Source organism: Homo sapiens, chromosome X, assembly GCF_000001405.40.
Source record: "Homo sapiens chromosome X, GRCh38.p14 Primary Assembly".
In the NCBI taxonomy this organism is placed as follows: Eukaryota; Metazoa; Chordata; class Mammalia; order Primates; family Hominidae; genus Homo; species Homo sapiens.
The window spans coordinates 152,353,463-152,365,476 of record NC_000023.11 but is presented as its reverse complement, the minus strand read 5'-3'; the positions used below and the strand labels follow the sequence as shown (position 1 = coordinate 152,365,476).

Here is a 12,014-nt window from a genome sequence, read left to right as displayed (position 1 = left end):
GGGTAAATCTCCACTGATCCAGGGTTCATAAAACAGCCTTCCTTATAGGGAACTCCATATCACTAGTTCTATCACCAGTATAATTTGCTGACCTCTTAGAGATTTCAGTGTCAGGAAGTAGGCTTGGATTTCTCTTTTTGTTGTGTCCCCTATCTAAAGGAACAAGTTTGCTTTCAAATATCTCTTTATGGGGAAATACTGCATTCTTATTCAAGAGCCATGATGTCTCATTATTCAGTATTTTCTCAACCTAATTTAGAGGAAACAGTCTATCCACTTCAGGCCATTTAATCTTTTGGAAAATTGTTTAACTCTATGAAGCTGAGAATCAATCCCAAAAATGCTATAAAAAGACTCCAGGTCTTAATATACTAGGATAGTAGGATTCTCTACGATATTACACAGTTAACCAAGGCAAAGGACTTTGTAACACTAAAGATCAAACAGGGAATTGGAGGGAAATAAAATGAAGACATGAGAGAATATTTTTAAGATCTTAGATTATAAGAGGTAACCCAAGCTGAGGGAAGTTCTGTGATTCACCTAATCACATAGGGTGAAGCCAAGGAAAGAGATGTTGCAGTAACCTCAGACTCCTGATTACTGACTTAGGGCTGTTTGTGCTACACTGTGCATCCTTTCTTGGATGGGCTCTGGTATATTTAGGAGAAGGGTATATTGGGGGCGATTTTGGTGGCATTGACAAGCTGGGAAAAGGGGACTGTTGAATTAAGCACTGAGTAACTAGACACTAGAGAAGTTAAATGGCTCTAATAGAGTTTAATAACATCTCTTTCTCTCTTTTTTACCTCTTTCTCCTCTCTCCCTTTGTTTTCTACTCTCTACCTCTTATCCCTTATCTAAACTGTGAATCTCACAGGTCTCTCCAAGTTTGTGCCTAAGAAGATGATAATCACACAAACAAGTCACTGTTACATGACCAGCCTTGGGATTCTTTTCCTGATTAATATTCTCCCTGGAACCACTGGTCAAGGGGAATCAAGACGACAAGAACCCGGGGACTTTGTGAAGCAGGACATTGGCGGGTAAGAACCCCTAACTCTTAGGATGAAAGAAGACTGTGATAAATGTTTGCCTCAGACCAAAACTTCTGATGTTTTCCCCCAGATGAACCCAAGTACTCTGGTCTCTGATACTTATACATTACATTATATTTAGAAAAAAGTCATAGGCTCAGACTCTCAAAGTAGAAAGAGATCTCAAAGTTTCTTTTTCTTAGACAACACCCTGGCCCAGGCTTGAATCACCTCTGTAATATCTTAAAAATAGTTCTTTTGCCCTCAATTTTATCTCTCCTCTCTTAGATCTTCAACCTTTTCCTTTTTATTGGCTGTGTGGCTCCATAGCATTTAAACATGATAATGTTTAGGAATCACTCATCTTAAATTTAAAAATCTTCCCTCCAGATACTGCCTTAATTATTTGCTCCCCTTCATAGCCATATTTCTTGAAGGAGTGGTATGCTTCATTGCATCTATTTACCTCTCACCCTTTCATTCACTTGCTGCCATCTGACTTCCAACCCCAGACTCTAAGGCAACTTCTGCAGCCAAGATGGCCAATGTTGGTTCTGTTGCTGAAATGAACACTTCTCTGTTCTTACGTTCCAATATTGTTGACTTCTCCATCCTTGACTTCATTTTATTATGAAATAAAAATACATGTAGAAACATGCATAAAATATAAATATATAGTTTAATAATAATTCTTTTTGGCTTCAGAGACACTATAATTCTCTGGTGTTTTGATTGGGTTCTCTAGAAACAGAGTATGAAACAAGGATTCTTGAGCAAATGATTTATTGAGAGGTCACTTTCAACAGAAACCTGTAAGGAAGTAAGGGAAGGAAGATAGGGAAAGAGAAGAAGTAAAGCAAAGGTGTAGCCTCAATTTGACCTCATGAGGAGAAGTGGGGCATAAATGGCACTAAAAGATTTGTCCTACTTTGAGGCAAGGGACCCAAGCTTGTGTACTCTCACCTCAATTAGTCTTTGCCTGTGGATCCCCTGGAGAAAGGCATAGTCTTCCAGATATTTTAGGTGAGGCGACTCCCTGCAACAGATAGTAATTTTCCAAAGTAGCTGCAGGATGATTTCACTGGCCCAGTAAAGGGATCCGAGAATAGTATTATACCAATAATAAATACTACATCTGGTTTTCTTTATACTTTTATGACTATGCTTTCTGCAATATTTTCCACAATACTACACAGGTACATCAAAGACCTTTGTGATATAAAGATCCTTTTTAGTCTTCTTTTGTTCACCCCTCAGGTGTTTGTGTTTTTCCTTGTTTTGTTCTAGGCACACTTCTTACCCTACAGATCCCCTGAGTGATGTAATCCATTTCTATGATGTAGTTACCTTATATATGTAAATGCCAATGACTCCCATCTCAATCTTCATTCTAGACTTCTCTTGAATGTCAGACTTCTATATCCAACTGTCTACTGAACATGCCCACTTGGCTATTCCACACACTTCTTAAACTAAGCATGTCCAATGTATTTAATTAGCTTCATCTCCCTCCCCCATCCTAAAGAACAAACATAACAAAACAAACAACAAACAGACAAAAATATTCCTCTTCCATTTTTTTCCTGTTTCAGTCAGTGGTACCACTGTGTACCCAGTTGCTCAAGTCAGAAACTTGGAATCATTTTTGCCAGTTTTCTACCCTTTACTCTCCAGATTGAATCAATCACCAAGATTTGTCATTTCTACCTCCCACATCTCTTGGATTCATCTACTTTTTTCCAACTTTTCTGCTAGCACCCTAGTTTAATCTGATGTTGTCTCTCACTTGGACCACTGTGCAAACCTTGTCTTACTTCCTAAAATCTTGTTTCCATCCAAACTAACCTCCACTCTGTAACTATTTTTTTCTGTAATGCATGTTTGACCATACCTACCCTATTTAGAGCCCTTTCATGGTTTTCTGTTGTCCCTACAATAAGGTACAAACTCTTTAACATGATTTTATAAAACCCATTAGGACCCAGCTTCTACCCACCTTGCTAGCCTTATTTCTTAGTCTTTCTGCCACCAAACTGTGTTCAGCAATGTTGAACTCCTTTTAGACTTTAAAATCCCTTCTAATCCAAGGAATATCATTACTAGAAATGACCTCTTAGCCCTGCAATATTTCAATATTACCCAAGGTATTTTATTCCTTGGTAGTGACTTTTTTTTTTTGGTTTTACATTTGGCTATTGTCCTATATTCTTGGAAGCATGCATCTTGAAGTAGGAAGTATTCCTAATTATTTTTGCAGTGTTGATTATCTTAATGTACTCTGAGTCTTTTCATCTTATATCAGCATTTTTACAGTAATCTCTGGGGCTGAGGCTGCAGAACTGGGCTTGTATATCCTTAGAATCTTGGTATATAAGACTCTTTTTGTTCTTTCTTCCAAAATGGAAAATAAAACCAGTTCTGTTTTGTTAACTCCTCATGTATTTCATTTCACTGGGCCATGATAGATTCTAAATAAGATGAAGGTTCTAAATAAATTAACCTTACCGCTTCAAGTGTTAAAGCCTTTTACATTTTAACTCTGATAATATAGTTTTCTAAAAATGTATTGCATATTTTCTTATAATCCTAAACAAGGATTTTTTTAAACAGAATAGTCCCATTTCTTTGTGACTTTTGGTCATCATAAAGAAAATTCACGGTTGCATGCCATGGCACATGCCTGTAGTCCCAGCTACTTGGGTGGCTGATACAGAAGGATCTCTTGAGCCCAGGAGTTAAAGGCCAGCCATGGCCACACAGTGAGACTCTATCTCTAAAACAAACAAACAGACAAAAAAAAAAACCACAAAAAATTCTTAAGCACATGTTCATTATATTCATTCGAATTTTTTTTTTTTTTTTTTTTTTGAGATGGAGTCTCACTCTTCACCCAGGCTGTAGTGCAATGGTGCGATCTCAGCTCACTGCAACTTCCGTGTCCTGGGTTCAAGCCATTCTCCTGCCTCAGCCTCCGGAGTAGCTGGGATTACAGGCACATGCCACCACGCCCAGCTAATTTTTGTATTTTTAGTAGAGATGGGGTTTCACCATGTTGGTCAGGCTGGTTTCGAACCCCTGACCTTGTGATCCGCCCGCCTCAGCCTCCCAGTATGAGCCACTGTGCCCAGCCAGTGTTAGTTCTTATGTCCCGTGTCCTCTTTACAATGGTTTGTTAGCATCCTGTTGATGCTTAGAAAACCAGATAGCCTAGTTTTTAGTAATTATGTCAAGGAGTAGGCCAAGAAATCCTACCTGAAAAAGCAGAGTGAAGTGCTTGGTTTTAGTAAAGAGGCAATACAATCACTGCATGTTTTCTTTCTTTCTTTCTTTCTTTTTTTTTTTTTTTTTAAAGACGTGGTCTTACTCTGCTACCCAGGCTGGAATGCAGTGATGTGATCATAGCTCATTGTAACTTCAAACTTTCAAACTCCTGGGCTCACATGATCACATGATCCTCCTGCCTGAGCCTCCTGAGTAGCTGGGACTACAGGTATAAGCCACCACACGTGGCTGATTTTTAAAATTATTTTTTAGAGATAGGGTCTCACTGTCTTGCCCAGGCTGATCTCAAACTCCTGACCTCAAAAGATCTTCCCACATTGACCTCCCAAAGTGTTGGTATTACAGGTGTGGGCCACCACACCTGGTTTCTGTTTCTTGAATTAGAAACATTTTTTTTTTTTAATTTATTTTTTTTTTTAATTTTTTTTTTTAATTTTTTTTTTTTAATTTTTTTTTTTTTATTATACTCTAAGTTTTAGGGTACATGTGCACATTGTGCAGGTTAGTTACATATGTATACATGTGCCATGCTGGTGCGCTGCACCCACTAACGTGTCATCTAGCATTAGGTATATCTCCCAATGCTATCCCTCCCCCCTCCCCCGACCCCACCACAGTCCCCAGAGTGTGATATTCCCCTTCCTGTGTCCATGTGATCTCATTGTTCAATTCCCACCTATGAGTGAGAATATGCGGTGTTTGGTTTTTTGTTAAAACACATGAAGAAATGCTCATCATCACTGGCCATCAGAGAAATGCAAATCAAAACCACTATGAGATATCATCTCACACCAGTTAGAATGGCAATCATTAAAAAGTCAGGAAACAACAGGTGCTGGAGAGGATGTGGAGAAATAGGAACACTTTTACACTGTTGGTGGGACTGTAAACTAGTTCAACCATTGTGGAAGTCAGTGTGGCGATTCCTCAGGGATCTAGAACTAGAAATACCATTTGACCCAGCCATCCCATTACTGGGTATATACCCAAAGGACTATAAATCATGCTGCTATAAAGACACATGCACACGTATGTTTATTGCAGCACTATTCACAATAGCAAAGACTTGGAACCAACCCAAATGTCCAACAATGATAGACTGGATTAAGAAAATGTGGCACATATACACCATGGAATACTATGCAGCCATAAAAAATGATGAGTTCATGTCCTTTGTAGGGACATGGATGAAATTGGAAACCATCATTCTCAGTAAACTATCGCAAGAATTAGAAACATTTTTTTCTTTACTTTCCTCCAAGCCCAGTGCAATTAATACTTTTGAGGCATGATACTACTAAAAGCATGGCCCAAATATTAAGGTTGTATTCTTCTGCATGTCTTTTGGGTAAATAATGAAATTAAGGCAGAAATAAAGAAATTTCTTGAAAGTAATGAGAACAAAGATACAAATACCAGAATCTCTGGGACATGGCTAAAGAGTGTTAAGAGGGAAGTTTGTAGCACTAAATGCCCAAGTCAAAAAGTTACACAGATCTCAAATTAACAACCTAATGTCACACCTAGGGGAACTAGAGAACCAAGAGGAAACCAACCCCAAAGCTAGCAAAAGACAAGAAATAACAAAAATCAGAGCTGAACTGAAGGAAATTGAGATGCAAAAAAACATACAAAAGATTAAGTCCAGGAGTGTGTTCTTTGAAAGAATGAATAAGATGGATAGACCACTAGTTATTCTAATACAGAAAAAAAGAGAAGATCCAAATAAACACAATCAGAAATAACAAAGAACATGTTACTGCTGACCCCAGAGAAATACAGAAAACCCTCAGAGACTACTATGAACATCTCTATGCATACAAACTAGAAAACCTAGAAGAAATGGATAAATTCCTTGAAACTTGCGACTTCCTAAGACTGAACCAGGAAGAAATTGAATCCCTGAACAGACCAATAACAAGTTCCAAAATTGAATCAGTAAAAAAAAGCCTACCAATCCGAAAAAGTCTAGGAACAAATTAATTCACAGCCAAATTCTACCAGATATATAAAGAAGAACTGGTACCATTCCTACTGCAACTATTCCAAATAACTGAGGAGGAAGGACTCCTCCCTAACTCATTCTGTGAGAACCAGCATCATCCTGATACCAAAACCTGGTACACAACAAAAAAGAAAACTTGTGGCCTATATCCTTGAGGAACGTAGATGCAAAAATCCTCAATAAAATGTAGCAAACCAAATCCAGTAGCATATCAAAAATTGAATCCACCATGATCAAGTAGACTTTATGCCTGGAATGCAAGGTTGGTTCAGCATATGCAAATTAATAAATGTGATTCACCACATAAGTAGAACTAAAAACAAAAACACACATAATTGTCTCAGTAGATGCATAAAAGCCTTTTGATAAAAATCAACATTATTTCATTAAAATGAAGGACTACAGGTATAAGCCACCACCCAAACTAGGCATTGAAGGAACATACTTCAAAATAATAAGGACTATCTGTGAAAAAACCCATAGCCAATAGCATACTGAATGGGCAAAAGCTGGAAGCATTCTCCTTGAAAGGCAGAACAAGACATGGATGCCCTCTCTCACTACTCCTATTAAACATGGTACTGAAGTCCTAGCCAGAGCAATCAGGCAAGAGAAAGATATAAAAGGCATACCAATCAGAAGATAGGGAGTCTAACTATCTCTGTTTGCAGACAATATGATTCTATACCCAGAAAAGTCTCTGCCCAAAAGTTCCTTGATCTGATTTTAAAACTTCAGCAAAGTTTCAGGATACAAAATTAATGTACAAAAATCAGTAGCATCATACACCAACAACATCCAAGCTGAGAGCCAAATCAAAAACGCAATCCCATTCACGATAGCCATAAAAGAGTAAAATACCTGTGAATACAGCTAACCAGGGTGGTGAAAGAGCTCTACAATAAGCATTACAACACACTGCTCAAAGAAATCAGAGATGACACAAACAAATGAAAAAAATTCCATGCACATGGATAGGAAGAATCAATATTGTTAAAATGGCCATACTTCCAAAAGCAATTTACAGATTCAATGCTATTCTTATCAAACTACCAATGACATTCTTTACTGAACTAGAAAAAAACTATTTTAAAATGTATATGGAACCCCAAAAGAGCCCAAATAGCCAAGGTAATCCTAAGCAAAAAGAACAAAGCTAGAGACATCACACTACCTGACTTCAAACTATACTATGGGGCTGTAGTAACCAAAACAGCATGGTACCGGTACAGAAATAGACACCTAGACCAAGGGAACCGAATAGAGAGCCCAGAAATAATGCCACAGATCTACAAACATCTGATCTTTCACAGCATTGACAAAAACAAGCAATGGGGACAGAAATCCCTATTCAATAAATGGTGCTGGGAAGGTGGATTAAAAACTTACATGTCAAACCTAAAACTACAAAAACCCTGGAAGATAATCTAGAAAATATCATTCTAGACATAGGACCTGGCAAAGATTTCATGATGAAGACATGAAAAGCAATTGCAACAAAACCAAAAATTGACAAATGAGACCTAATAAAATGAAAGAGCTTCTGCACAGCAAAAGAAACTATCAAGGGAGTAAACAGTCTACAGAATGGAAGAAAATATTTGTAAGGTGTGCATCCAACAAGGGTCTAATATCCAGCATCTATAAGGAACCTAAACAAATTCACAAGCAAAAAACAACCCAATTAAAAAATAGGCAACAGACATGAACAGACACTCCTCAAAAGAAGACATTTTTTTGTGGCAAACAAGCATATGAAAAAATGCTGAACATCACTGATCATTAGAGAAATGCAAATCAAAACCACAATGAGATACCATCTCATATCAGTCCGAATGGCTATTATTAAAAAGTCAAATTATAACAGCTGCTGGTCAGGTTGCAGAGAACAGAATACGGAGCTCAGAAATAATGCTGCACACCTACAACTATCTCATACACTGCTGGTGGGAATGTAAATTAGTTCAGCCATTGTGGAAAGTAGTTCGGTGATTTCTCAAAGAACTTAAAATGGAATTACTATTTGACCCAGGCATCCCATTATTGGATATATATCCAAAGGAATATACCTCATTCTATCATAAAGACACATGTATGCATATGTTCATTGCAGCACTCTTCATAATAGGAAAGACATGGAATCAACCTAAATGCTCATTAAAGTGGATTAGATAAAATAAATGTGGTACATATACACCATGGAATACTATGCAGTCATAAAAAAGAACGAGATCATGTCATTTGCAGCAACATGGATGCAGCTGGAGGCTATTATCCTGAGCAAACTAACACAGGAACAATAAACCAAATACTATGTGTTCTCACTTATAAGTGGGAGCTGAACATTGAGTACACATGGACACAAAGAAGGGAACAATAAACACCAGGGCCTAGTTGAGGGTAGAGTGTGGAAGGAGGGTGAGTATAGGAAAATTACCTTTTGGGTACTATGCTTATTACCTGGGTGACGAAATATCTGTACACCAACCCTCATGACATATAATTTACCTACATAACAAACCTGCACATGTATCCCCTAACCTAAAATAAAGCTGTAAAGAAAAAAATTATGACAAAATTAGACTTGGTTAATCATAAAAAGCACAAATATTAGAGTTGTATTTGCCATAAATAAAGGATCCAATATAATTTTAAAGTATAGAGTTTTTGCTGATAGTTGTGGTACTTAAGAGCTGCTGCTGCTTTTTGATTATTTCCGTACTTTCTTAATTATGTTTTTGTGTATTGAAAAAAATCCATTACTGCATTATTTTATCCAACTTTAATGATTTATTCAATTAAACCACCTACATTGGCCGCCACAGCCATTTTAACAATCAACAGTGGTTTATCGACCAGTACTTTGTATAACTCATGTGCTTGATGTAATAGTTCTCAACATTCAGTATTTGTAAGCAAGAAAGCAGGCTTCTGCATTTGAAGATTATGATTTGGTAGCTCTGGGAATAGTGCCTAAAATGCCCCAGATGATTCTGGTGTAAGGAATCTTTGGGGACACAGTTCCTGTTTTTAAGAAACTAACAGTATAGTTTGGGATTTGGGATTCTGGAACTTTAGAACAGCACCCATGGAAAAACCTGTAGAGAGCATCTAATCTGATTTTTTAATCTGTACCTGAAGAAACTGAAGCCCAGAAAGGAAAATTGACTTTCTTACAATGAGTTCATAAGAGACCCAGGTCTAGAGCACCAGTTTCTGATTCCCAGTCCTGCATTTTTGATAAGAAGCTACAGAGAGTAATTTCAACTTCATATAATAAATGAATTTCCTATACTCCTGGTTCCTGGTCAAGTATTTTGACCATTAGCAAATGGAATTATGTACGTGAACAATGTCAAGTTGAACCATTTTGAAACTGACATTTTGCTAGGTCAGAACGATTGAATATCAGCAATTTTCATAATGGGTCAACACGTAAGTGCCTAAGCAGCAAATGCCAGGTCTGACTGCAATTTGTTGAATTTGTCAGGATCCCAGAGAATACAGATGGGACATTTCAATTATTTGAGGAGGATATATTTGCAGAGACTAATCATAAAGTTATGATCTAAGTGGAGGGAAACCGCAAGGAATAGAGTAAGAACCTAAGGTGAACAGCACACATATCATGTAAATCAAGCTTTCTTCAGAGGTGCAGATTTTTGGTGGAGGAAACAGCCAGCCTGAGAAGATTTCACAGGGAGAGAGCCAGGGAGTTACATGCCCAGTCTTTTCGTCTTCCTCTGATCTTCAGCCAAGGTGGCCAAACTCAAGTTGAAGCAATAGGCCAATGGCGCCCATAATGTAGTGCATAAAAATTAGCCTTCTAGAAAGGAGAACGGGGTGGAGAATAGTGAAAAGGCAAACGAAATATGCTGCACACAAGGCCGCATATTTCCACACTACTAATAGAGTAGGGACTATGATTTGGGAGGAATATGACACTATATTAACACATTTTCTGCATCAACATCATATGGTGGTGGCCATGGTGACAACTGATGCAGTGAACTGAAGAGGAGACTGCTGGGGAGTTGCTTGTCTCCTTGTCATATCTACAGCCTGACTTGGTTCTACTATCTAAAGGTGTCAGTGCTTGTAAGCATCTGTATTCATCTTGAAAATGATTTTCTCAGTTCTCTTAATCTCAGAATAAACTGTCACCTGTGGCCACACATGTACTTACTTTTACTTGGAATATAAGTATGAAAAGTCCAAACCCTTCCATTTACATGTAATTTCTATTAAAGAATCAATGCATCAATACTCTTAGCATTTGACCATCAAATCTTAAAATTTCAGAACCAGACTTGGGACCTGAGAGGCTGTCAGTTCCTAGGCTCCTATCCTGGGAAAGAATCCCTCCTGCTTTATGGTTGATGATTCACCTACCAGTTTGAATCTCTGCAGTGATAAGCTGCATTAGTACCACAGGGCATAGCTCCAGGGGTTAGAAAGTGCTTCCTATATTGAGCTGAAGTCCACCTTCTTCAAACACCTCCTAGTTATAGGGCCCTGTAACATTTGCAACATTTGCTTCTTTTTCCACATAGTGGCTTTCAGATATACTCCATGCTTTCTTGTCTGCAGGCTAACTCTCATTCCTTTCAAATATTCTCTTGGCATAATATGGTTTTCCAGACATTGCTTCAAACTGGACACTCTCCCTTGTTATCTAATTAAGCCATTTTTTTGAGATTCGATTCCTTAGTCTTACTTATTCCATTATGTTAGTTTAAACTTTATATTCATAGAGTCCTATATACCAAGCTCTATTCTAAGTTATTAATATATGTTGATTAATATAATCCTTATAACAGACCTGATAGCTAAGTGATGTTATTATTCCTTTGCAGATAAAATATGGAGACAGAGAGAGGTCAGGTAACTTGCCAAAGCTCACACAGCTAGAAAATAGAAGAGTTAGGATTGAAACCCAGAAAGTTTGGTTCCAGAGTCCATGCTATTAATCATTATGATATATTGCTTTTCCTGAGTTTGGTTACTTTTAAGTAAGAATGAGGCACATGTCAATTTCTTTTACATACCTGAATATTTACTTACATATAGTAACCTCTCAACCACTGAATTCTTAATATCTCAGCCACATAGCTGGGTAGACCATGTTCAGATGTGGCAAGTGCATTTTTCTTATAGGACCTGGAGAAATAAGAAATGTAATTTTATCCTACCATTTTCCCTTTTGAGGTGGAAGTGCAGAATTTGTAACACAGAACAGGGATGGACATGTGAGGCCACAATCAATGATACTTTGTAGGTGATGTTGTGGCTTCCTGTTGCGTTATGTCAGGAGGCAAGGTTGTCTCAGTATGGCTGATACTGAATTTTATCACTTGCTTAGGGTGATGACTGTCGGGACTCGCCATTGTAAGGATATCAACCATCAGGATTAATTCAAAGTCTTTGAGCTGATGGCCAGCTCATTGCTTTGATCATGGCTGTGGGTGTGGGGGTAAAGAACAAATAATAGTAGGGGAGATAATATTTTTAGTACTTTAGTTTTCTTTTCTTTTGTGTCAAAAAATGTCTTTCCACATAAACAGTGTTATAAATGGTTCTCAGGTTGGCCTATTAATACCTGCTTAACCAGAAACGTTGCCAAAATAGTGCTCATGCATTGGCACTATGGTTACAGTCATTCAGATTAACCATGAGAAACAGTATTGCTT

At 37.7% G+C, this 12,014-nt stretch overlaps 1 protein-coding gene across 2 annotated transcripts in view; it reads left to right on the top strand.

Moving 5' to 3' along the window:
• The window catches only part of GABRA3 (gamma-aminobutyric acid type A receptor subunit alpha3), a 285,082-nt gene that overhangs the window by 85,839 nt on the left and 187,229 nt on the right, over positions 1-12,014 (top strand). For both annotated transcript variants that reach the window (XM_006724811.4, NM_000808.4), the window contains exon 2: positions 881-1,046. In XM_006724811.4, coding sequence (XP_006724874.1) covers positions 907-1,046 — 140 coding nt within the window. In that variant the 5' untranslated portion in view covers positions 881-906. The remainder of the gene's footprint in view (positions 1-880; positions 1,047-12,014) is intronic.